Source organism: Homo sapiens, chromosome 4, assembly GCF_000001405.40.
Source record: "Homo sapiens chromosome 4, GRCh38.p14 Primary Assembly".
NCBI lineage: Eukaryota > Metazoa > Chordata > Mammalia > Primates > Hominidae > Homo > Homo sapiens.
In genome coordinates, this window is record NC_000004.12 from 102,282,853 (window position 1) to 102,310,191 (window position 27,339).

General features: G+C 36.1%; 1 protein-coding gene across 9 annotated transcripts in view; it reads right to left on the reverse strand.

Annotated features, from left to right (window-relative positions):
• Positions 1-27,339, reverse strand: part of SLC39A8 (solute carrier family 39 member 8) — a 94,442-nt gene that overhangs the window by 31,812 nt on the left and 35,291 nt on the right. For 7 of the 9 annotated variants that reach the window (NM_001135147.1, XM_024454184.2, XM_047416070.1 and 4 more), the window contains 3 exons: positions 24,584-24,753; positions 22,137-22,259; positions 21,465-21,629 (listed from right to left, as the gene is read on the reverse strand). In NM_001135147.1, coding sequence (NP_001128619.1) covers positions 21,465-21,629; positions 22,137-22,259; positions 24,584-24,753 — 458 coding nt within the window. Of the gene's footprint in view, positions 1-18,097; positions 18,725-21,464; positions 21,630-22,136; positions 22,260-22,343; positions 23,150-24,583; positions 24,754-27,339 lie in introns of those variants that run through there. The other 2 variants (XM_047416071.1, XM_024454183.2) reach the window with 2 other exon arrangements.

Here is a 27,339-nt window from a genome sequence, read left to right on the forward strand (position 1 = left end):
AGTAGCTGGGACTACAGGTGCGTGCCACCATGCCTGGCTAATTTTTTGTATTTTTAGTAGAGACAGGGTTTCACCGTGTTAGCCGGGATGGTCTCGATCTCTTGACCTCATGATCCACCTGCCTCAGCCTCCCAAAGTGCTGGGATTACAGGCGTGAGCCACCACACCCAGCCCTCAAGGCAGAAGACTTTTATTGGCAACCATCTTGCATCTAACTTTGTGGACTTACATATTTTTTCAGAAGATGGTTTGGAAAGGGAGGGCATAAAAGTAAGAATATTAGCAATGAAAGCAGATAACCTGTTAAAGATTTATTGTTTGCAAGATGCTTTTCTAAATGCCTGTGATAAGTACATCATCCTGATTACAGAGGAAATAAATGAGGACACTGGAAGAAGGGACTTGCCCAAAACGACACAGCTAGAAAATGGGAAAGTCAGGATTTGTGCCCAGACTATTTGACTCCTAAGCCTATGCAATAAGAGGTCAAGATACTGCTCAAGAGAATTGAGTTTTTCAGATGAGGAATTTCTGAATTAAGTAGCTTGTTGCTATAAGGTAAGAAATTATTATTTTATTGCTGTTTGCCAGTCTCCATCCTGGAAGGTGGAGTACCTCCAGGATTCAAGTACCTCTGGTTTTGAGTAGAAGACACTGAACTAATGTGCTGAGGTGTTCTGAGGATTGCTAACACTTCACACACAATTAAAATAATACTTCCAATTGTTGAGGAGAAAAAAAACACCATCCTAGAGCTTTCAAATCCACTACATATAATCTACTGTTTACAGATTGCAAAAACTGATTGCAAAAGACAGTTGTTTTCCTGACTGACCCGTTCTTAGTTTATAACATTTAATAAAATGTAATTTTGGAGCCAATGTCTTGTATTATTAACACTGTTTAAGTGTTAGAACACAGGAATGCTTACTTTGAAGAAGAATTTCTATCTAGAATGTTTTCCAATGTCATTTTATACAAGCATCCACTGTGCCTACCTACTCTGTTCATCTTTCTGTTCCTAAAACCCACTGAACTGTTTCCTACCATAGAGATTTCTCACTGGCTGTTTCCTCAGCCATAATATTATTCTCTCGGATATTCACATGGATGGTTCCTTCTTACAATTCTGATTTTAACTTAAATGTGTTCTCCTTGAGGAAGTCATCCCTGACCACCCACACTAACATAGTGACCCAGACATCATCATATCACATTTTAATTCCCTGCAGGACATTTTAAAATTTATTTTTGTATTTTATGTGTATAAATGTATGGGGTACAACTATAATTTTGTTACATGTATAGATTGAGTAGTGGTGATGTCAGGGTATCCATCACCCAAATAAAGTATATTGTACCCATTAAGTAATATCTTATCATGCACCCTCTTCCCTCCTGCTCACCCTTCTGAATCTCCATTGTCTATCATTCCATATTCTATGTCCACATGTACACATTAGTTAGCTCCTACTTATAAGTGCCTGCATGGCATTTGTAACTCTATGATGTTGGGCTGTGTGTCCCACTAGAATGAACCAGAATGGCAGAGCGCATGAACATTTTCTGTCTAGTTTGTCATGGAATTTCTAAGGTGTAGAGCAGAGCTTGGCACTTGGCAGGTGATCACTGAATAGATGAGAAGAAAATAAATGATGAAATGAATGACTGAATACCATCTTCCTACGCTTTAATATAGCATCACTGATTTAATGTATGGACCAGGATATCATTCAGAATATAAAATGTTGTCACAAAAGTAGCCTGATATATCACAGAGGCCCAGTTTAAGATTGCCATTATTGTTTTAATATAAAAGTTACATGATTCTGGGATTTTGATCAAAGTCACAAACACTATAAAAATTACAAAAAAAATACAGACTATTTTTGCAAAAGTGATGTTTGTCCAGAAAAGAATGTTTGAGATTCTACTTTCTAAATGGAAATAATCTCTAGATTTGGGTGTTTGTTTGCAACCCAGGAAACTATAATGATGGCTGATCCCTCACTTATTTTTTCCAATATATATTTTGTAACCTGGTAATAGAGGAGGATACACTAGAAAGCATAAGACCAGAGGCCGGAATGTCTTATGGAACCCTCCAATGTAATCTCTATTGGTGTTTCCTCTGCTGCTAAACGTTTCTGACTTTTATCCACTTTCACTAAGTTGGTATAAAGGTTCGATAAAGTCATGTTCATTAAGCACTTTGATATTCCTAAGTAGAAAGAGATTCAGTAAAATAAAGTCTGTTCTTTTATTTTACTTTTAATGTTCTGATACCTGATAACAAATAAAAAGTAATAATACCTTAATCACTTCGAAAAAGAATTAGGCTCACACATTGGTCTCTCTTTCTACTTATTAGGATTCAAAACTTCTATAATAATACTTCTAAATAAATTGAGCCAATAATTAGCATGGAGAGCAAAGTTAAAGGCAGGAGAATGTCACCACTTAATTTAAATAAATGAAGAGTTATTAATTGAATTGAGAGCCTTAGAATGGGACTGAAATTCTCTATCTAAGAAGCAGACATATAGTAGAATCAAATTTCACTACCTAATCAATGCCCTAACTCTAACCCTTAATACTTTTATTAAGAGTCAGCACTTAAATTGTTCTTCAAATATCTTCAATTCTTTTTTTATTCACTAAGATTATTAGTGAAGTATTAATAGTTATAAAAGTGAAATTTGTTATCTGGAAATTTACCTCAGACACAAAACTGAATAGATATGATTGTAGAGACAAATAAATATTATAGATGAGGGTGTGTGTGTGTGTGTGTGCATGTGTGTATGTGTGCATGAGCCAGTCTGCTAATTACTATATAATATAGTAATGTCAACCTCAAAAAGCAGTTTGGCAAGACCACACTTCATTTACAGGATGCATTAGCTTTGGTATCTTTTTGATTTAGAATCCTTACTTTGAATATATAGAATAAATAAAATGGAATAATAAAATGTAGAGTAAATTCTGCCTCTGCAAGTGCTTCTTCAAGGGAGATGGATTTCATTTATTACAATAAAACACCTTATGGTTTGGCAAATCTTTCATCATGCAATCCACTGAGTAAAAGTTACTCACCAGGTCTTGATTCAGTATTCCCAAACTGCAGAATGCAGCATGCAAAGAATAGAGCACAATATAAATATTTTTAAATAAGCAAATAGCAGAAGCCAAAGAAAACAAAGTGGTCTATTTTAGTCATCCAACAATTATGAAATGGACATCCTTTATAAGGCAATCTTTTAAAAAGCTGATGTTAAAGACTGACCAGCAATAGAATAAGTATTTAAATATTCCATTGCTTCCCCTGGTTTGCCACTGGGCTTTCCACACAGTAGAATAAGCAATTCTTTCTGATGAGCAGAATAATTTACTTGAACCTCATATATTATTGGTTCATTTTTCAAGAGAAAAATGTATTGGCATTCATTATTAACTTTTTTTATCAATCAGCATGCATGACAGAACAACACAGCAATTCTTCATTACACTAATGGAGGAAAAATTAACTTGACATCAAGCCTAATTGACTAAAACCTCACTAATTCTTCTAAATAGGGATAAGTCCTGCTTGATTAGTGAAAGCAATTTAGTATAGAACATGTTTAGATAGATGCACTTTTATTGCTTTCCAGAACTTAACACTAACAAACTGGGCTCTCCAGCATCAAAGGCGAGATAACGGTAGAGGTTCTTCACAAAACCTGCCACAGTGTATGGATAAGACTAACACAACATATCAAACACATAATAACAACTTGGAATTTCTCTAGATAATTGAGAAGCTTTAGGTGCAATCTTGCCAAAAAAATTGTTTCAAAAGAAATTTTTACAGATGCTGCCAAAATACTCTATAGCCAAGCCCATAGCAAAATAAAACAAATCATAAATTATCAGCTATGACAGACTGGTAATCAAAACTAACAAGGTTTCACTATGCGGGCAATCCTCAACTCACTACAAGTTGTTTTACAAAAGTTCATTTGTAAGCTAATTGTTAGAAATCATAACTTATTACAGCAATATTCTCATTAGGAAATTAGTATCATGTATATGGAGCAAACATGAGCTTGGGATGCAAGACCCCAGAAGGGGACCTCAGCATAGTTTTGCTGTTTATTATCTGTGTGAACTTGAGGGAGTCACTGTACTTAACTGGATCTTAATTTATGCAGCTGTAAGTTGACTTAATACCAAGTTCATAGTGCTATTGTAGGAATTTAATATAATAATAGCTAAAAAGCTACCCCAGTGCCCTCTACTCTTACCCATAGCCATTTATGTTCCTTTTTCAAGTATTTCTCTATATCAGAGAGTATTGGCTGGCAGGTCATAGAGGAGCATCAGTGAGTTCATGAACCCCTTTAAATTGTATGCAAAATTTGGTAGGTCTGTTGCAACAGGTAATGGGCTTCATCAAGCGGCTGTCTAAGGGAATGATTAAAAACCATTGTTCTATAGCCACTTTCTTGAATGTTTCAAAATTAGAAAATGACAAATGTTTAAAAACAATGACTGGAAGCACTCTCTGCACTTAAGTTGCTGTTCTGCCCAACTGTATTATCCCAGTAAAGTCTTACATATCTGTCAAGATGGATACAAGCATGATTTTCTCAGAAGAGCATCCTTGACCATTTCGCTTTCATCATGTTCCATCCCAATATGCGCCACTCCATTTGCATCACGTCCCACCCCAAAACACACCACGTCTCTCTCAACATAGTAACTTGCATATGCCTCTACTCTAGTACTCATCACACTACACAATAACTATTTTTTATGTCAGTAAGTTCTAGTTTTATATGCTCAAAAATTTCTAGTCAAATAAATATGAATTTTTTCACAAAAATAAATGTATACTTAGATTTTATTTAAAGTAGCCATTTTAATCGATGAGAAGCATACAAATCAGGAAGTAATTTTGCTTTTTTAAAAGAACTCTGAGTGTAACAAATCTAAGTTCAAATCGTTACTCTGATGTTAAACCTCCCTGAAATTCAGCTTTCCTATCTGTACAATCAAGATAATTACACCTAAATGAATGTTGCATATGAATAATATTTACAAAGTATGGGTATATTTCTTGCACGTGACAGGTACCACCAGCATCACACCACCAACTACCACCATTATTATTTCTATTAGTTATTCAGGAGTGACAGGTACAGGCATACCTCTTTTTCCTGCACTTCACTTTATTGTGCTTCTCAGATATTGTGATTTTTACAAATTGAAGGTTTGTTGCAACCCTGCATTGAGCAAGTCTATCAGCACCATTTTTCTATCAGCATGTGCTCATTTCATGCCTCTGTGCCACATTTTGGCAATTCTCACAATATTTCAAACTTTTTCATTATTATTATATCTATTATGGTGATCTGTAATCAGTGATTTTGATGTTACTATTGTCATTGTTTTGGGACACCATGACTGTGCCCCCATAAGATGGCAGACTTAACCAATTAATGTTGTATGTGTTCTGACTGCTCCGGTGACCAGCCATTCCCCCAATTTCCTCCCTTCTGTAGGGCCTCTCTATTCCCTGAGACACAAGAGAATTGAAATTATGCTAACTAATAATCCTAAAATGGCCTCTATGTGATCAGGTAAAAGGAGAATTGCATGTCTCTCACTTAAAATCAAAAGATAGAAATGATTAAACTTAGTGAGGAAAACATGTCAAAAGCCAAGATAGACCAAATCTAGGTTTTGTGTGCCAAACAGCCAAGCTGTGAATGCAAAGGAGAACTTCTTGAAGGAAATTAAAAGTGCTACTCCAATGAACACACAAATGATAGGAAAGCAAAGCAGCATTATTGCTGACATGAGTAAAATTTGAGTGGTTTGGATAGAAGATCAAACCACCCACAACATACCCTAAAGTAGGAGCAAGCCCCTCTTTTCAATTCTATGAAGGCTGAGAGAGGTGACAAAGCTGAAGAAGAAAGGTTGGAAGGTAGCAGAATTGGTTCATTGGGTTTAAGAAAAGAAGCCATCTCTATGACATAGAAGTGCCAAGTGAAGTAGCAAGTTCTGATGGAGAAGTTATCCAGGAGATCTAACTAAAATCATTGATGAAGGTGGCACACTAAACACCAAATTTTCAATGTTGGTAAAACAGCCTTCTGTTGGAAGAAGATGCCATCCAGGGCTTTCATAGCTAAAGAGAAGAAGTCAGTGCCTGGTTTCAAAGCTTCAAAGGACAGGCTGACTCTCTTGTTTGGGGTTAATGCAGCTGGTAACTTTAAGTTGAGACCAATGATCATTTACCATTCCAAAACTTCTAGGGCCCTTAATAATTGTGCTAAATTTACTCTGTCTGTGCTCTAGAAATGAAACAACACAGCCTGGATGGTAACACATCTGTTTACAGCATGGTTTACTGAATATTTTCAGTCCACTGTTGGGACCTACAGCTCAGAAAAATAAAAGAAATTCCTTTCAAAATATTACTGCTTATTGACAGTGCATCTAGTCACCTAAGAGCTCTTACGGGGATGTACAAGGAGATGAATGTCGTTTTCATGCCTGCCAACATAACATCCCTCCTGAAGTCCATGGGTCAAGGAGTAGTTTTGACTTACAAGTCATATTATTTAAGAAATACATTGTGTAAGACTGTAGCTGCCATAGTAGTGATTCCTATAATGAATCTCAGCAAAGGAAGTTGAAAACCTTCTAGAAAGGATTCATCAATCTAGATGCCATTAAGAACATTTATGATTCATGGGAGGAGGTCAAAATATCCACATTTACAGGAGTTGGGAAGAAGTTGATTCCAACCTTCATGGATAACTTTGAGGTGTTCAAGAATCCAGTAAAGGAAGTCACGGTAGGTGTACGGGAAATAGCAAGAGAATTACAATGAGAAGTTAAGCTTGAAGATGGAAGTGAATTGCTGCAATCTCATGATCAAACTTGAATAAATGAGCAGTTGCTTCTCATGAATGAGCAAACAAAGTGGTTTCTTGAAACAGAATCTACTGCTGGTATAGATGCTGTGAACAACGTTGAAATGACAACAAAGGATTTAGAATACTTCATAAATGTAGTTGACAAAGCAGTGGTAGAGGTTCAGAGGATGGCATCCAATGTGGAAAGAAGTTCTACTGTGGGTAAAATGCTGTCAAACAGCATGTTCTCGCATGTACAGAGAAATCTTTCATGAAAGAAGCAATCGATGTTGCAAACTTCATTGTTTTAAAATACTTCCACAGTCACTCCAAACTTCAGCAACCACCACCCTGGTCAGCAGCCGTCAACATCAGAGGCACGGCCCTCCACTTACAAAAACATTAGAACTTGCTGAAAGCTTGGATGATCAGTAGCACTTTTTAGCAATAAGGTATTTTTAAATTAAGATATCAATGTCATTGTTTAGACATAATGACAGTGCACACTTAATAGACTATAGTGTAGTGAAAACATATCTTTTATATTCACTGGGAAACCAGAAATCATGTGACCTGCTTTATTGTGATATTTACTTTATTGCAGTGGTCTGGAACCAAATTCATCTGATTTTGACACCGACTATGGTTCAGAGAATATCTGAGCAGGGACAGCCTTCCAGGAGGTAAAGAACATAATGATGTTTCTGGAACTTCATACAAAGAAGCAGACTACTTTCATGTGATCACCTGGCTCCCAGTGCACTCCAGAGTTTCAAGGCATACTGTTCTCCTTGTCTACAACAGTGTGTGATTCTAACTAGATGGGCCACCACTCTGTATCTCACAGCTGTGTAGTACATGGTTGAGTTTGTAGGTGTGAAGAAGGTAAACGTCAACAATTTGGCCCCTGAAAATGAGGACACTGGCTCAGGGCTGAGGATTCTGACTTTCTACTCAGCAATGTATTATCATCGCTAGTCAACGTGAACCACATTAAGAGAGAGCCTATTAAAAGCCTTTCCCACTTTTCCCCAACCCCACAGTCCTTCATTACTACTTCCCACCTGCCTGAAATTGAGAACATCTAACTCACAATCCACCCACAAACACTTTCTCCACCTTCCATCCCATCTTAGAATAAGAACCCTTTTCCTTTTCATTGTGAACAGCTCCACTTGTACTCTATTTTCATTTTTTCTCTAGAAATGTGCTCCATAAGATATCCCTACCATGACTTCCATTCTCTTTTGAACGTTCAACCTCTCCCTGTCTGCCTGGCCTTTCCTCTCTGTCTTAAATCTAACACAATCCCAAATCCTGATACTCCACTGAACTGCTCTTCTCCCTCATTTTTTTTTCACTTCAATGACAAACTCCTTAAAATAGTTTACTTTTCTAGTCTTTTCCTATATCTCTTTACCAGATCCAGCCTTTCCTCTTCTTTCAGCTACTTGCAGCAAAATAATGTTCCCCAGAGTAGCTACATGTAACTTTAGAAGCATTGAAAATGTATGCATTCTTTGCCAAAGCCTTTTCTAAACCAAGGAATGAGTTATTCAGCACACACACACACACCACACAGCAACACGTCCTAAATACACTTTGGACCTCTCACCTTACCCACAGAGTTTCTGCTGTCCATGGCAGATCTTCCCAATCTCCTCTTTCTTGAAAATTATTCCAAAATGTTCTCTCCCTACCCCACACCAGTTCTCTATCTTCAGATAAACATACTATGGAAGATGATCTATTATTCTCATTCGTCTGAGCCAGGGCAATGCAAACAAAGACACACCTTCTCAAAGAAGGTCCAATATACTAGGGTCCACAGGGGTTCCTGTATTCACAGCTAAAAATATACCACCACTCCATTCCACTCTGGCCCCTGGTCATTTTCTTCTGTTTCTTCTGTTTTTTCTTTGTTATGCCCCTAAGGATGGGATGGCCTAGCACATGGGACTTTGTCCATCAAGCTCTCTTCTAATGAACCTGACACCAGGAAATGTGTTCTCAGGAAGAAGCAAAGCATCAAAATTCAATCCATCAACAGACAAATGGACAAAGAAAATGTGGTATCAACACACAAGAGAATACTATGCAGCCTTTAAAAAGAAGGAAATCCTGTCATTTCCTTCTTTTTAAAGGCTGCATATTTTAAAACCTGGGAGGATACTAAGCCAGGCACAGAAATAAATACTGCATGATTTCATTTTCACATGGAATCTAAAAAAGTTGAGCTCATAAAAACAAAGTAGAATGTTTGATACCAGAGGCCTGGGGACTGGGAGGAGGAGAGATGTTGGTCAAAAGGGACAGAGTTATACTTAGAAAGGAAAAATAAGATTTAGAGCTCTATTACACAGCATAGTGACCATAGTTAATGATAGCATAATGTATAGTTCAAAACTGCTTTTAAAAAAGTAGACTTTACATGCTTTCACAACAAAACAAATGAAAAATAGGTGAAGTGATGAATATGTTAATAAGTTTAATTTCATCTTTCTACAATGTGTACATATATTAAAACATAACATTATACCCTATAAATATATGCAATTATTATTTGTCAATTTAATTAATTAACTTCTAAAAATTCAATCCAACTGCCTTTATAGCCTTTGCTCAAACTTGCTATTTGATTTTGTTCTCTGCAAACTGCCATGGAGGCCCTGTTCTCTTAGTCTATTCTGGAAGCCCTCATATATATCACTCTTGGCTATAAATTGCTCTTACATGAACTAATCCATCTACTTTTGAATCTTCAAAATGATCCCCATTATGTCTTCAAGAAACCCCACTGCATAAAATGCTTTCCTCCTTCCAGTTGATAAGTGCTTATAAATCTGGCATATGATTCGATGACTTTGAACCAAGTCTCCTACTCTTTCAACAGTTGCTCAATATTCCGTCATTGAAATAGAGGACTTTGTGGCTTTGCATCTATACATAATGTTAGATGCTGTTTCTCTTACTTAATCCCCATCACCCTCACTTCTCAGGAGCATGATGGTGATGTATGGTTGTATGGTAGACACAGAAATAATAAGATTTAGTATTTAATGCATACCTACTCTTAGTCATAACTTTAAAAATATTTCATTTAATCCTCATAATAATCCTGCCTTGTAGATATTATTGCCAGTTTACAGATGAAGAAAGTGAGTTTTAGAAGTTGAAGAAACCCGATTAGTTATCAGAGTCAGATTTAAACTCAAATCTACCTGACTCAAGTACTTTTGACAAAGATAAGTTGCACTAATGTTCATGTTACTAATTAACACCTAATGAACAATGTATAATTCAAAAATGACACAAATTTTGTGAGAAAATATAATTATTCACTCATTTAATTTTTCACTCTGCTTTAAGCCTCCCTAATTCTAAAAGTAGAAAAATCAGCCAAGTACAGATTACCTATATTTAGCTGTAATATAGAAAAAGAAAAAAGTTGCAATGAAATTCAACACTGAGAAAAATGTTTCTTAATCTAATTAAGGCTATTTAAAAGAAAAAGAAAACTAAAGAAAGCAACCTACTGAGCTTAGAAGCATTCCTATTAAAGTTGGAAACAAGACAAATTACCAACTATCACCACTTCTACTCAACATTGTCCTACGAGCCCTTGCCAATAAAACAAGAGAAATAAGAGTTAAAACAATTAGAAAACAAATTAAAAAGGGCTTCTTTGCTCTTCAATATGGATGCAGAAAGTCCAAAAGAATAAACAAACAAAACAATACTGGGAGAATTCAGCACTACTGCAGGACGCAAAACCAGTGTACTAAAATCAGTGTACTCTTACATAGCAGTAATAATCAACTAGAAAACAGTAGGAAAAAAGTTATCATTTGTGATACCTGTGGAGCTACAAAGTAATTAGGAAGAAATCTAACAGAATATTTTAAAAATATTTCTAATATAGTAAATTACCAAACCAAAAAATCTTAAATATCATAAAAATGTAAGCTGCAGCCTAGTTAATCTCTAAATTCAATGCAATGTCAATGAAAATCTCCACAATGATATTGATATGGAAAAACAAAGACAACTTTTAGTGAAAAAACAAGGTGAGGAGCAGACCTTGTCTTTATAGCTGACTAAAAACTATAATAATTATGGCAGTGTGGTGGTAGGTCAGAGTTTTGTTTTTTTTTTCCAAATAGACAAGTGAAAGAGACTAGAAAGCCAAAATACAGATACATTAATACATACAAACTTGATACACGGCAGGAATAAAATGATCTGTTCAGCAAAAGAAGCGAGGATAACTGCTTATTTATACAGGAAAAAACTGGATCCTCATATACAAAAATAAATTAAACTTAAAATTTTTGAAAGAAAATATGGAAGGAAATCTTAGTGAAAAGAGAAACCACAGATTTGGAGAATACATTTATAAATCATTTAATCAAGGAAAATTAACATCCAGAATATATGTAAAACTCCTACAAATGACAGACTCTTTCTTAGACCAAATTTCAGTTAGGCTCCTCTGAGGTCTCTTCTCAACCAGACCTTCGACTTCTGTGTCCATTTTTGCAGAATTCAGTCATAGCAAGAATCCTGCCAAGTCAGTTTAGCAAGAATCCCCTCATCCTTTATATATGATCACTCTTAATATCTGATCAAATTCCTCATTCCCTCTGACTCAGGGAAAAATCAAATAATTATTTTTAAAAAATTCTTCATTCTCCACCATCCCCAAAGTGATATATAATCACCCTGGCCTGCCTTCAGCAAGAATTCCATTAAATTGGTTTAGTAGGAATCCCCCTACCCTTGATGTTTTCTCTTAAGAATATTCCATGCATTCTTCCCCTCTCTCTGCTAATTGGCTATAAATGCCAACCTGTCTTTACTTTATTTAGAGTTGAACCCAATCTCTCTCCGCTGTTGCCATAGAAGCAACCCTTATTGCAACAGTCTTGAATACACTCTTCCTTACTGTTTTAACAAGTGTCAGAATAGTTTTTTCTTTAACACAAATCATTAAGAAAAAAAAACTCAACTAAAAATGTGCAAAACAGATGAATAGGAAACATAAAAGTAAACTTATGACCAAAACGCATATGAAAAGATGCTCAACTGCACTATAATCAGAAAGACAAATCAGAAAAAGATACCACTTCAGACTTATTAAATTGGCAATAATCTTTTTAAGTCTGAAATTTCCAAGTATTGCTAAAGACAAAGAGAAAACAGGAATTATTTTTTGCTGTTCATGAGAAGGTAAACAAACATAAGAGGCTGGAAAGCATTTTGTTGTTATTCAGCAAAATTAAATGTGTGCATACTCCATGACCCATTTTTACACATCTATTTATTAGATAATAATATATATGTATATGATACATATTAATATATAATATAAAACTTTATATATGTGTTTATATGTGTATATATGTAAATATATATATTATATATATGTATATAAAAAACTATTCACAGAGGGAAAAGAAAAACCTAAAAGTCTACAGATTATCTCCAGAACTCAAAACTTCATAACATTGGAATTGTGTTTGCATGGACCTGAAAGCACATTCCAAAGGATTAAAATTATAAACTCCACAAAAATGCTGACTATTTAAATGTTTATCACACAATTAATGAGAATGTTATCTTTTCATATGGATATCAAAGTAGTCCATGACTGACACCCATAAGAAACTGACTGTTCTCCAAACAGAGTAAATAGTACAGATTTTTGTACCTTTAAAAGCACATTCATACCTAATCTTATTTGATTATACTAGCTGACCTAAGAGTTGGCAATATCAACATTTTGTTTGTTTGTTTAAGATAGGGTCTCACTGTTGCCCAGGCTGGTCTTCAACTCCTGGACTCTGGTCTTCAGCTCCTGGACTCAAGTGATCCACCTGCCTTGGCCTCTCAAAGTGCTGGAATTACAGGCATGAGCCAACAGTGCCTGGCCCAATGTTTGTTTTATTTTTTAATGAACTTTCTGTGTAAATGTTGATGCCACCAGCCTCCACAAGAATGGAATATACTAGCTGGCCAAATGATTAGCTAACATAAGGAACCAGAACAGATAACCCTAGATCCCTCCTGACATTAGCTATCAAATAAAATGCTTTTGTCAAATTTACATAACTTGGACAAGCTTTTATCTGGGGAAAAGCAAGTAGTTCTTAATGTAGTGTTTTCCTTCCTTGGCAAGTGGCTCTAGCTGGTATTTCAAGGCTCTAACAGAGAATCGGTGGTGCAAAGCCTGATAAATCGTCATTTGAATAGCAAATTATATTGGACTTTAAGATTCTCTTCCATTAAGAGAGAGTAAATGTTCCAAATTCTCTTAATTTATCTGACAGGTCAAAGGCAGGCTTGTGGGCATTTATATTCAGAAGGTTGTCTTTATTACTAAATTACCTATGAGCTTTTAAAGTCCAGCTTTACTTTCTAGAAAATCTACTCAAATTTTAAGGTAGATAAGAAAAATGAGAAAGAATGGAATTCTGTATATTTTACCTTCTCATTTTGTTACCCTAACCTAGAAGGAACATATACAAATAGATTCAAACAGCTATGTGGTTTATTACAAGAAGTCATCTTTTTAAGTGATGATCTTTACATAATTAAGCATATGGATTTAGAAGCTATTCCCAAAGGTGCAAAAGATGAAGTGATGCGACTTGATGACTATGATAAAAACTAAGAAAAGACAAAAATGGTAAATGGAAGAGGGAGGGAGATGTATATTTATCACAAGTGTACAATGTATTAGACACAATGTTGCATAGTTGACCCATAAGAAATTATTTCACTTTCACAAAAATCAGTAAATTAAGAATCTTTGCTCCTCATTTAACAGATGAGCAAAGGCTCAAAGGTGTTAATTATTTTTTCCCAAATCAAACAACATATTTTAATCCTAAGATGCAAACAATGGCCTGTGTAATTCCAAAGCCTATGCTTCTCTTCCACATCCAACTGCCTTGCAAGAAAAGGAGACTCAGAAGAAGCACCAGGAAAGTATTACAGCAGCTAAAATGGTGACAGAGCAAGGATGGTATCATGTTACCAAGACCACCTCATAAGTAACTCAACAGGGAGGGGAGGGGCTCCAGCGAAAAACCTGCCTTTATATTTCTAGCATTTAGCCCACAATAGGTACTCACTTACGTGTTAAACTATAGGAATGGCTCAGGAAGAAAGAGTGAATGAGGATTAGGAACATAGCTTGTGGCCCACGCCTGTAGTCCTAATTACTCTGAAGGCGGAGTGGGAGCATTGCTTGAGCCCAGGTGTCTGAGGTTACAATGACCCTGTCTCAAAAAAAATGAATAATTTAATTTAATTTTAAAAAGAGGAATATCACATGCTGCCTAGAACAACCACTTACATTATTCTAAAAATGTTCAGAGAATAGGTAGTGAGTTTAGAAACTGTACATGATTAAGCATGTACGGAGATGATGAGGAAGGCTGGTTAACAAATGGAAACAATAGGCAGCGTAGTGTAAGGTAAGTTAACCAAACAGACCAGGAAACAGGATTCCTGCACTTCAATCCTAATGTGGTACCTGTGTGACCTTGGGTAAGTTCCTTACCTTCTCTGTACATCAGTTTCCAAATCTGCAAGATGGAAATAATAATCGTACTTGCCTCACAGGGTTGTTACTGTGAAGATTAAACGAGTTAATATATGTAAAGCATTTAAGAATATGTCTAACATATATAGTCTTATTTCAGAATTAGCCAATCTTTAGAAAAGTTGGACAGTTGTGGGAAAGAAGGTTTGAGAAAACTTGGGAGTAGCAGATTGAGGAAAAAAATAACACCTTGAGGTAGAAAAGATGGAACTTGTTTGTAGACACGGGAAAAGGAGAGATTCAGGAAAGATAAATGAAAACAGGCCAGATGTGGTGGCTCACACCTGTAATCCCAATACTTTGGGAGGCTAAGGCAGTAAGATCACTTGAGACCTGGAGTTCAAGATCAGCCTGGGCAACATAGCAAGACCCCATTTCTACACAAAAAAAATTTAGTTAGCCAGGCATGGTGGCATGTGCCTGCAGTCTCAGCTACTTGGGAGGCTGAGGTGGGAGGATCCCTTGAGGCTAAGGAGTTTGAGATTTCAGTGAGCTCTGATTAAGCCCTGCACTCCAGCCTGGGTTATGGAGTGAGACCCTGTCCTAAAACAACAAAACAAAACAAAACTGGAAGAGGCCACAGGAAAGATGAGAATATTTAGAGGAACTGGCCTTAAAAAGGAGAAAGGACACCAGTTCTGGCACAAAGGGGACAGTGGAGAGAAGATGAGGACCCAGAGTAGTTTTTTTAAGAAGTAACAGAAGTAATGAGGTGAGACAGCAGAGTTCACACATTCCAAATCATCATCTCAGTCTCCTTGTTAAAGTAAGAAAATAAGAAATAAGAATTTTGTGGAGTAATAAAAAAAAAACTTTAGAACAGTTTTTCATGAATAAAAGTATACTTCATATCAGTGAAAGTAGGCTAAATTCAGTGGATTCAGGTACCAATTTTCATGACCTTAGCAACACATAGAGTAAAGCCAGATAAAATGACCTGTCCAGGGCAGGGATGCTCTGAGATAGACCCAGTGAGAGAGAAATTCCACTAACAGCAAAGACAACCCAGAATTTCTCCTCATGATTGGCTATATCATCTGCCTCTAGTTACTGTTTTTATGTAAGTACCAGTCAATCAAGATCAGTGGAAATCATTTCTTATGTCATTTTATTATTTGTATAGTTTTCTATTTTAATTAATTGTTATTATAGGGGAAATTAACTAATTTCTGTTTTTAAATCTTGTGATGTTCAAGAACTATATGATTTAAAATAGTAAATGGTCTTTTAGTGAAATAGTGCAGACCAGATATACATATTTATCTCTAGTCCATCCTGAAATGCCCTCTTGAAGCTATGTCCTTATAAAGGAATAAAGACATAAAACTGCAAGGACAGGAGGAAAGAGAGACAACATGACAGCATTGAGATTTGTATTTTGGAAGATGGAAAGAGGAAGGCAAGTTCTGACTGACTTCACAAAGAAAGTCAACAAGAAGCAAAGTGATGCAGGACCCAGAACCTCAAAAAAGTTCAGGGATTAGAGGCACCAAGTACTTCTGAAGGCAGAGGGCAAAGACCGGAACTAAACATAAGAGAAGTGGCTGCAAGTCTATTTAGGGAACAAGTAGAACCTCAAGTCCTTCCTCCCAAGCCAATGTGGCAAGGCAGCCACCCCAAATGATGACTGGAGATCTACCCCTGGGGAAAGTGAACTAGAGAGACCCTCAATTCAAAGACACAAAGCAAACTGAAGACAGTTGGGAAGTACAGTACTAAAGAAAGGGGTGTTATGTCAAATATTCTTAGTGCCCCAGTCCCCTTCTCCTCCCACTCCACTTCCCAAGTGATAGCCAGTAATATTCTACCCTTCTTCCCACCGCCAGGCAAGAATGGAGAAAAACACACCACCCAAAAGACTGGTAGACAAGCCCCATGCATATATGTACACACAGAACTTCCAGTCAGTTTTTTTTGTATTTCATACTTAAAAAAAAAAAAAGAGTGCTTTCCATTTTTCTGTGCAAAATGTGTAATATTTCAGTTATGTTATGGAAGGGTGGAAAGTTTGGAATCTGTGAACTCTGCTGTCTCACCTCATCTGTTACTTCTTGAAAACTGCTCTGGGTCCTCATCTCCTCTCCACTGTGCCCTATGTGCCAGCACTTAGAATAATGCCAAGTATATGTTAAGTACTGGAAAAATACTTGTTGAATGAATTATGTGTATTTAAACTCTCATGGAGGCCCAACCACCTCAAAAATGTTAGCATTCTATTCATAGAGTGTCACTTCATATCAGTCATCAACAAAGAAAATCTCCCTAACATCTCCACACTTTGCAGCTAAATTCTATTTTATTGCACCTCAACTTTACACATAAAATTCACAATAATCAACTTCTAAAAATCACTTTATATTTAATAGTATCTATTCTTAAATGAAAGCACAGGAAATTTCATAAAAAGAGAGACTGATGACAGATTGCTGGAGGAACGAGCTCCAGGGTCCCTCTAGTGGCCTTGAAGAGCTGACACCCTCCCCAAAGTACCAAACATTCCTCAGCAATCAACATCCAACAAACACCAAGGCTGTGTCTGGGCTGGGGAGCCCCACCCGGCTGCAGAGATAGTGAAATGACTCCACACTTGGCTACACAGGAACGTCGAAGAGAAAAACACAAAGCATGTCACAAGGTGACATGTGACACATTACCTAGTAACAATAACTGAATAACTGGGGAAATAGCATCTTGTGCACCCCTCTTTTTCCTACATCTTCCTTTTTACCCCTCTGTGACCCCCACTTTTCCCCAAAAAGCATGCACGTGCCCACACGCATGCCACATAGACTGTTGTGCCTCACACTTAGTAGGCCTGGAGCAAAGGTATTAAGGAACTCTCAAATCATTTCGTCTAAATATTTAAAAGTTATAATCAAGCTAACTGTTAAATGTTAATATCTTCTATTATTTCACTGTGATAAATATGCTTCCATGAAAACAAAATAAAAACATATGTGTAAAACTATGATTTTTATATGACTAAACACAGATAAAACACCAGAGACTTCTAAATTTAAATATTATTGCTTAGCTGAGTATTCTGTAATGAGCCAGAATTGCTTGGATGAATAATAAAGACATTCCTAAGTCATACAGTTTAAGTATTCTATAACATGTCTTTGTTCTTTCTACATTTCAGCAAGATCAAAAATTATGCTTTTATAATCTAGATTTTCACATAATTTACATTCTATTGACAGTAATGCCAATTAGACCACCTTTCTTAACTCACTGTAATTTTTAGAGAGTTCCTTATTATTTTCAATTTGGAAAAACTTTGTTGAAGCAGTGACAGCCGGGATTGTCAACAAAATTCTTAAATCCATACTTGTAACTCAAATTGAACCCTGAGTTATATTATCATGTTCAATCCTTTTAATGGGGTCACCTAGGTTAGATTATTTTTATAATATAAAATATTAGAAAGTATTTTAATTTTATTATTAAAATCACTATCACTTATATTGTAATACTTACTCTCTTAAAGCAATATCCAGACCTACTTATTTCTTAAATTTCATTTCTTTTGATTTTTTGTGCAATGTAAACAAAACTGAAAATTGCAGTCTGTTGCTCAATTTGTTTAAATGTCTATTTATTTGAGACTATACCTTCAACCAAAATAGCGAGAAAATAGTCCCCATAAGAAATTAACGTCAAAACTATTATCTCAAGGCCTGGTGCAGGGCTGTCACCCTGGCACGCACCTTCTCTTCTTTCTTCAGCTGCCTTCTTATTCCTGGAAGTGTATTTCCAGAATCTTAGTTCCATTATTCCCTCTCACTAGATAGGTAGTTTACCTAGGTTTATAATTCCACAGTTGTTTTCATTCAGAATATTGAAGGAATTGTGCCACTGCTCTCCAGCATTGATGTGGGGAAGTCCACTACCATTCAGCTTCCAGGTCCCTTGTGTGTGACCTGTTTGATTATTCTCAAAGTCTTTAGCATATTTTCTTCCCCGATATTTGCATGACTGGTTCTTTCTCATTATACAATTCCCTACTGACACCTTGAGGGACCTTTTCTGAACAGTCAATCAAAAGAAGCTCCCACACATCACTCTCACATCACCATGCTTTAGTTTCATCAAGGTAGGTTATTACTATATGATATTTTCTTGTTTTGCTCATTTCTATATTTTATGTTTCCATTGAATAAACTGTAAGCTCCTCAAGAATTTGCTTCTGAATTTCCAGTGCCTAGGACAATGAACAGGAACTCAATAAATGTTTATTGAATAAGTAAATGAAAGCATTACTGTCATAAGTGGAATAAAAACAGCCTTCTGATTTTATTTCAAAATTATGTAAAACAGGATCATGTCGAGGGCCTCATCTTTGTCATGGTGCTTAGATTTACTGCAAACATGTCTTCTGCCCATAGCTAATCCTAAATCAGGAGCCTTAAATCTTTAACTAAAATATAACTTTGGAGAAGTTAAACTTATTTGTTAATTATGATTTAAAAAAATAATTTAGCCTCTCACAAAAGCTGAAGGCTTTGACAGCCATCCTCCTTTCTAAATATAAATATGCCTATCAGCTCATTCTGATACTCAAGGCACATTTAGCAGCTAGTTTATCCTAGTAGGTTCATCAGAAGGAACTTTCCTGAAATCAGGAGAGGTCACACTGAGTTTCTAGTATGGTCAAGGAGGTGATCAGCCCTTTAAATATTTTAAATCTCAAACTGTATCTCTTCCGTGCTTTGTGTTACAGGACTTGAGGATCCCAGGGGAGAACTTGTTCAAGGTTGGACCAGGTTCAAAGCTCCTTCTCTGTAGAAGTGTAGCCCTGCCTAAAGTTATCTTGTTAACGCTGGAAAGATACAGGAAAATCTTCCATCAGAGCAAGAATTCAAGTTAGGCTCCAAATTTCATGGCAGATTATCCCTCTGCCATCTGGTATCTAAAGAATTATTAATCAATGTTTAAATTAGCAATATAGCTGACTGGCACCTCTTGAATGACTTGTCAGAGTTCAACCACAATCTCACTATAATCCAGTATTTGCCAAAAGCTTGTGTAAGGCAACTAGAATTTAGACACATGGTATAAGGAAGGGTTTTAACTACTATTCTTTAGGCTTTCTCTGCTGTGCCTCGCATTAAATAATATATCCTCAGAAAGCAATATCCTTGGGTCAAATTATTTTTCCCCACTACAAAAAATAAATATTTAACAGTTGATGTTGTCATCTTGCTTACAGTAGAGCAGCAACATAAGGAAGGCAGTCCAGCAAAGTATATAAGAACACAGGCTTCGGTATAAGGCAGCCTTGGTACTAATCCAAGCTTTGCCATTAGGAACTGAGCATCTTTGGGTTTGCTATTTAACCTCTCTAAGTCATACTCTCCTAATTACAACAGCACTTGCCCCCTAGGTTATTAGGAAGATCAAATGAAGTAATTCATCTAACGTTCTAGGCATAGTCCTTGAGCATTTAATGAATGTTAATTGTAATTATTATTGTAAGAAATTATATACTTGAACATTTCCAGATTCTTTGCAAACTCTTGGCTGAAAGCATCATTCATTACACTGCAAAAAATAATTTCCTCTTAGCTGAGTGCTAACACAGAACTGGCTCTTCAAATACACTTGAGATTTTCCTTAATCAGGTGGAGAGAAGCATATGACCAATCATGTTTTCTTTCCAGAAGGAAACTCAGGTATTTGCCATAATAATCTCTTCCAGATTGCTCTATTTTTTTTGCTTTTTTTCCCCTTAACTGGCTTTCCTTTTTATTTTGTTTTTAGCTGTTCACTTTTATATCATGTTTAACTATATAGCTTGTGGATCTGCCATTCACTAGCTGAGTAAACCTGGAGGGGTTATTTAACATCTAAAGTTCCACTTTCTTCATCTGTCAAATGAGAATTGTTGTAGACACCAGTGATACTATCTTTTCAGCATCCCTTTTTGATAACCACTCCTCTACTCCATCCACATTCCCTTGATACCATTAAAGGGGCCCAGCCCTCTAAGCACTTAGATTAGTCTAGAAGTGATCATCTAATTCAAGCTGAACCAGGAAGACACTTGCCAGAGATTTTGGATTTAGGACTGAAAGAGTCAGGTCAATTTCCTTCTAGTAGCTGAAATTATAAGACAAACCTCAGGAACTGCTAGTGGCTATGTATCCCACTTATGGAAAAGATAGCCTACAGTGAAAGAAAAGAATGATACTAAGAGACAGGAAAGAGAAGGAGGGAGAGTCCTAGGGGTTCTAATGTTTCCTAGGTTCTTGTTTTTCCTGTAGCTTGGCTGTTCTATTAGTCATCTAGTATCTTTCCAGTAAGTTGTCCTTTGTGCATATATAATTTTGTTTGATTTCTATCACTTGAAACCAATATAGTTCTAATACATAAGAAATAATCCCTACACTGAGTAGTTGTTATAAAAAGTAAATGAGATCAAATAATTAAGTGCTAAGCATATTACCTGGTATATGATACGTGCTCAAGAAATTGTGCCTATTAATATTATTTAGAAGATGTGGATATAAATATAAATTATAAGTCAGACAATTAATAAAAACAATTTTAATAATTTGCAAATCTTCTTGCAATTTCAAAATCAATCAAAGGATTATTTGATTCTGGATCTTCAAAGAATTGTAAAATAAATGCTCTGAATAAATTTTGCTATATAATATTGTATAAATGCAATTGAGAGACTCTCATATAGTAAATAATCTTAGAGAATAATGAAGTCCAGAACAGTGATCCACAATTTCTTTCTTAACTCACTTGTTTAGAGTAAACATATACAGGGAAGGTGGAAAAACAATGCAGACTTACATTCCAGTTACCCCACATATATAGGAATAAGTCTGACATACATAAATGTACAAAAACTGACTTAGCTGCATAAACAGTCATGTTTACACAGTATAAAGAATGCAGTATAATGAAGGAAAAATGGAATTAACATATACCTGTAGAGATACCACACTGACATTATCAAAATGGATATGTCCATTAGCTTCTGTGACAGCAGGATTTGCATAGCATGTCACACCATTGATGGCAGGTAATGCTTTAGGTTGATGAGTTTTTTCTTGAGGACCAAAGTTATCATTTCCAAAGTGGGTATGACCATTCTATATGGGAACAAAAACCAAAGAGATTATAAGAAGAAAAAAGATGATTCATACAGACAAGGAAATAGAGTTTACTGCTTTTTATTTATAAGAGGAAAATTGTATGTCTATTCTATGTGTAAAGAAGTATTTTTAGATATATAAAATTTCTCTTTTTTACATGTATTTTCATTTATTAGATTCTGCTGTTACTGTTTGTTCGTGTTAGAACACGTATACACTCTTATTTTGATGAATATGAATAGAATATGAATTATGCACATCTGTTATTCAATATTAAATTGCTGATACTTGAAAAAAAACAAAAATAACCTCCAAATTTTACAACATGAATCAAGTATTTATCTTATACTTGTCAATATATTGACTCTTTGTTCTCCTTAAACTCACAAGCCTAATAACTGGACCATTCTCATAATTCTAAAAATAAAATTTCTGTCTTTATTTGCCTATATAAAGTAGCTTTAGGGGGTAAAATATTGGATGTTTTAAATAAAGTCCATTTACCTGACCATATGTCTTTAATAACATCTTTAGCATTCTTTCAAAAAAGAAAAGTAGGTAAAATCCACCAAACACAGCAACTGCCTTCTCAACATAACTGTCGACTTTGGGATCAAATCCAAATGCCTAAGGGAGAAAAAAGGGCAATTCAAGTAAAACCAAGAAATTTAACTTGATTTCTGGAAAATAATACCAGTATGCAATTCTCACCAATGTTCTAAGTCTCTCTTCACATCCAAGTAATATTGGAAACTTAGCTGCCAAAAATCACAAAACAAAAACTTTGAAATTTGAATGACAAAACTGTATGAGATGGCACAAAAACCTTACAACTAGAAGTCTCATTAAATAAAGCCACCAGAGAATCTTACAGTTTCCCACCTATAACACCTACAGCAATATTTGCCTTGAAAGAGTAAACTTTTAGCAGTAAAGCAGCAGCTCTGATTCTCATCTTTAGAATACGATATTAGGTCTAGATAATGAAGATAAATGAGATATTGATTACCTACTGTCTCTAAAAGTAATATATTAGTCCATGATATCCAGAATCAAACTTTTAAAACAAATATGGCAGGCCACTTGGATTACTGTTTTCCCAAGAGAAATCCTCTTATACCTACAGAACTGTGATAAATCCTAAAAAGGTAAATAAATCAAGGCCTAGGCCCAAGAATAAAAGCAAAAAGAAGATTTAAAATTGCCACCACTCTCTCTCTCTCTTTCACACACACACAGCAATAAGAATGGAATAATTCTTTCTTTAAAGGACAAAGAACTGGAGTTAGAGTTTGAAGTTATAAAGAGTCAAGATGTTCCTAACAGACAAGACACATAAACTTCAAATAAATAGAATCAGAGGAGAGACTAATGGGTGAAAAGCCACAACTTTACACCATTCCACACATTGTAAATCTCCCCTCTGAAGCAGAATAGAAGATGTCTGGGTTCTTGTCCTATGTTTGCCTCTGGGGAGACATCATGGCCGCATCCTCATTTGAATAACTTCTTTGTGCCTGTTTATACAATGCAAAATGGCTATATAAATATAAATGTTCCATTTACCTAACATTGAGGTTATGAAAATAAAGTGAAATAAGAAAAGGAAAATCATTTTGCTACAAAAAACTCTATGAAAATTTGAGAGATTATTACAAAGACAGATTCTTTATATTGTTAAACTTCAAGAAAATAGAAAACCTTAACATCATCAATGTAGAGTCTTTAGTCCACATACAGTATTAGTTTGTTTAATTTACTTTGACCCATAAAGCAGATGAGATAATAAATACATATATTATATCATATTAAATGTATTATGTATATAATACTCTTTTAAATCAGAAAATCTGTATTGTCATCCTAGCTTTGTTACTAGCTGATTGTAAGGCTATAATCAAATTATTTAACCACCCTAAATTTTAATATTTTTTATCTCTACAATTGAGGCTGTGAAATAGATATTATCTTAGGTCCTAGATCAAATAATGATAATAAATCTATAACTCTAAAAAGTTATATACCCACTTTCAATGTATAGCTTGAAAAATTAAAGGAAGCTTTAGTTATAATTTTCTAAAAATTACGAGATAAGGGTGGTACTCCCTGAAATACTATTAATATTTTCTCTCTGTATGGGGTTTGTCTCTCCCTGTGTGTGTGCATTGTGGGTGGCAGATACAGTCCATGTATACATATATTTCTCTAGTTCCCCTTTGTGGATCCCTTCTATGAAAGTCTCTTTCTCCTTTCCTTCCTCTTCAACATTGCCTCTCTTTTCCTTTCATTTATTTCCCTTCCTCCATTTCTCTTCCTTATATGGGCACAACACAGATTTGAAATAAATTGAATAGTGTGCACTATAGTCAAGATAGATCAATAACACATTTTATCAAAGAAAAAAAATAAGTTGCTATTTATTTATTAGTCCTCAATTGATATTTTTTCCACAGTTGGAAAAAATGAAAAGGTTTGTCAACCATGCTCTCATTTACTCTCTAGTCACTTATAACTGTAGTAAATATATGAGGGAATTTAGTGGTATATGTTAAATACATTATAAATTTACATTTGACATTTGCAGTACAGTTGACATTGCATGCTCTTTAGAAAAATAAATAAATAAATAAATAATGAAACAGTGTGTGGAAAAATTAAATTTGCCAAGTGCAAGGCAGAATAAAGTTTTAAGGCCTTCTGAGGTGTCCCAGAGCTGTCTGAGCACGTCCTAGTGGCTGGCCTCCTAGAATATTAATTTTGTCTCTGATAGTGATATCCACTGCAGCTTGGGACAAGCCTTTACAATTGCTGTGATTCAGCTTTCTCTTATCCAAGACACTATAAACTAGACCATAAAACGCTGTAAGAATTATGGAGGCTAAAAACATACAAAGTGCTAAAACGTTCAAAAGAAACAATTATTCACAGAAACAAATAGCCAACATCCTTACCTCTGGAATAAGTTGGAAAATTGCATTTGAAAAAAGAGTCCCAATAGCCAGCCCCACAAAAAAGGTCAAAATCTTTGGGAAATAAGATTTCTTTATCAGTGGAGTCAAAATCAATCCGAGGAGAGATGCCAGATTAATAATCGTCACTGACAGGAATCCATATCCCCAAACTGTGGGTCAGAGGGAAAAGAGAGTAGAAATTAATCAGAGCAAGGAACCAAATGATGTTTTCCTGTACATTAAGCTTAAAAGTGTCTTTAAAAGCTTAAGACACATATCTTCTTTAAAAGAACAAAATCTACTCAATGAAAAGTATATAGAAAACTGAGAATACAAATATGGCATAGCAAGCATTAATAGTAATACTGTTTATGTTTTAATCAGCCCTAAATCATCATTATGGGATTAATGAGTTTTACAGCTTGCAGGGAAATTGGAGAACATCTAGAACAGCGAACAGCGACAAACAATCTGAGATCCACAGGCTCCAAGCCACCTAGTTTCATCTATGGCTCAAGGAATAGATTAAAACAGCATTTTGAAAAAAAAGAAAAAACAGGGGCAGTGTGAGCCTCAGGACAAAGGTATGGGGTGATGGGTGGGAGGGCAGGGATGGAGATGGGTCACAGTGAGCTAGCTTCAAGGTGACCATAGCTGCTAACACTGAGTTTGTCACAATCATTTGTCTTCAGACTCCTGAGGACAGCATCTCCTCAGAGAAGGTGGCACCAGCAGCACCTCAGGTCCCCAGCTGGAGCCTCCTGGGAATCAAAGTCAGTCTGATGCAATAAGCACTCAGGAAGTGAGCACATGGGGCAGGAGGGAGCAGCTGCATTACATAACCCACCCTGTGAGACACAAATTAGGCAAAAATATTCCATACAGAAGAGATGCTGGTGACAGAAAAAGGTGGTGCATCTTTCATCTCTGGAGACCCAGGGCCTGGCACCCAGTAGGCACACAATAAGTATTGCTTAGAATAAAATGAATGAATACTATCCTAAGCTCTATAGCTAATGGCATGTGTGACCTATTGCCTTTGGGCCTCAATTTCCCTCTCTCTATCTTAAAGGGGCTGGTGTAAGGACAAAATGGGAACACAAGTGAAACATACCCAGGACAGTCACCTATGTGTGGGTGCAGGCTGAGATACAACGTGGCCTCAGGGCTGTGCAACATGTGACTTTGCCTCTGGCCCCACACACTGTACACAAAGTACAGTGTGACAGAGGAGAAAGCTGCCTCTGCATAGCCACTTCTTTAAAATATCCAGAAAGCATGTTTAAATGGTGGGCCACTTTTCTCCATGGCACTGTCAGTGGAGTACACTAGTAACACCTACAGCTCAGGGAGCATTTGCCATGTGCCAGGCCCTGTGCTAAGTGATCAACATATGTCAACTTATTTGAACCTCACAAAACCCTGTAAGAGAAATACTACTACCTCCTTCATACAGTTGGGGAAACCAAAGCAGATGGAATTCAAGTAACCTGCCAGAATCACGCAGATAGAAAGCTGGATTTTGAACCTGGACAGTCTGGCTCCCAGGCCCACATTTTTTAGCATATGCTTTATTATTCCTTTAGAGATAATCTCATTTTTCAAAAGCCCAAAGGACTCAATAAAACTGTAAAAATGTTTTCCTGAATTATACATACTTTATTAACACGAGATTGTTCACTATAATTATTGTTAGTCTAGAATTTCTATGTACAAATAAACAAACTTAGTAAATGTTCATTCAGCCTAGATGACGTGGACCAAACCATGGCTCCTGCCACCACACACACACAAACACACACAAGTGCAAACACACACACAGAGTGATACAAAGTCACCTGTGCTAAGTACCAAATGAAAAGGTCAGATTATAAATGGTACTATGTAACCCCGAGAATCATCACAGCACTGACCATGACGACTGCATCTTCTCCAGACACTTTCCTATCAGTTGCAGGTCCTGGCCATGCCCTACAACTTCACCTAACAGCCCACTTCATTCCCATTTATTACCTTATCACCTTAAACAATACTACTAGTCCCCACAGACATTCCACTTGGAGAGAGTTCTCAATTCCACACCTTTTATCGTGGTAGATCTACATGGAATTTCTCTTAACACAAACATACTTCTATCCATCACTAGCCTACATGCCTTCATTCATTCAACAAATATTTATAATCTCATTGGGTAGACAAGATATATACATGTTGAAAACTAAAATTAAAAGGCAAAGAAATTGTTAAGTGCCAATAGAAGCAAAGCCACATGCACATGTTAAACTCATCAGCTTCCCTGCAAACACCTGTTCCATTACCCTTGTTCACTACCTACATAAATAACAGGAACAGTAGGATCAATTTCAGTTTTTCACTTTCCACCAATTAATTCCATAGACAACTGGTGATCAAACCCTACCAGTTCTGCTTCAGGCATCTCTCACCTCTAGCCTCTCCATCCTCATTGCCAGTGGTCTTGAAGTCAGACCCTCATCACCTCTCACTCCCTCATCTTATATAACATGACAGTTATCGATCTGGTGCCCCTCCTACTAGCTGACATGGCCTACAGACTTATACTAAATCACAAAAGTGATCATCTCATGCCCCCATTTGAAATCGCCCCTCATAAACTGACCCTTGCACAGCCTCTCCAGTGTTATTTACCCCCTTCTCAACATGGCCTTTACCCAAACACTATGTTTTCCCAACCGAGCTTTACCTTTACACTGTGGTTCTCTGTCTGAAAACACTTT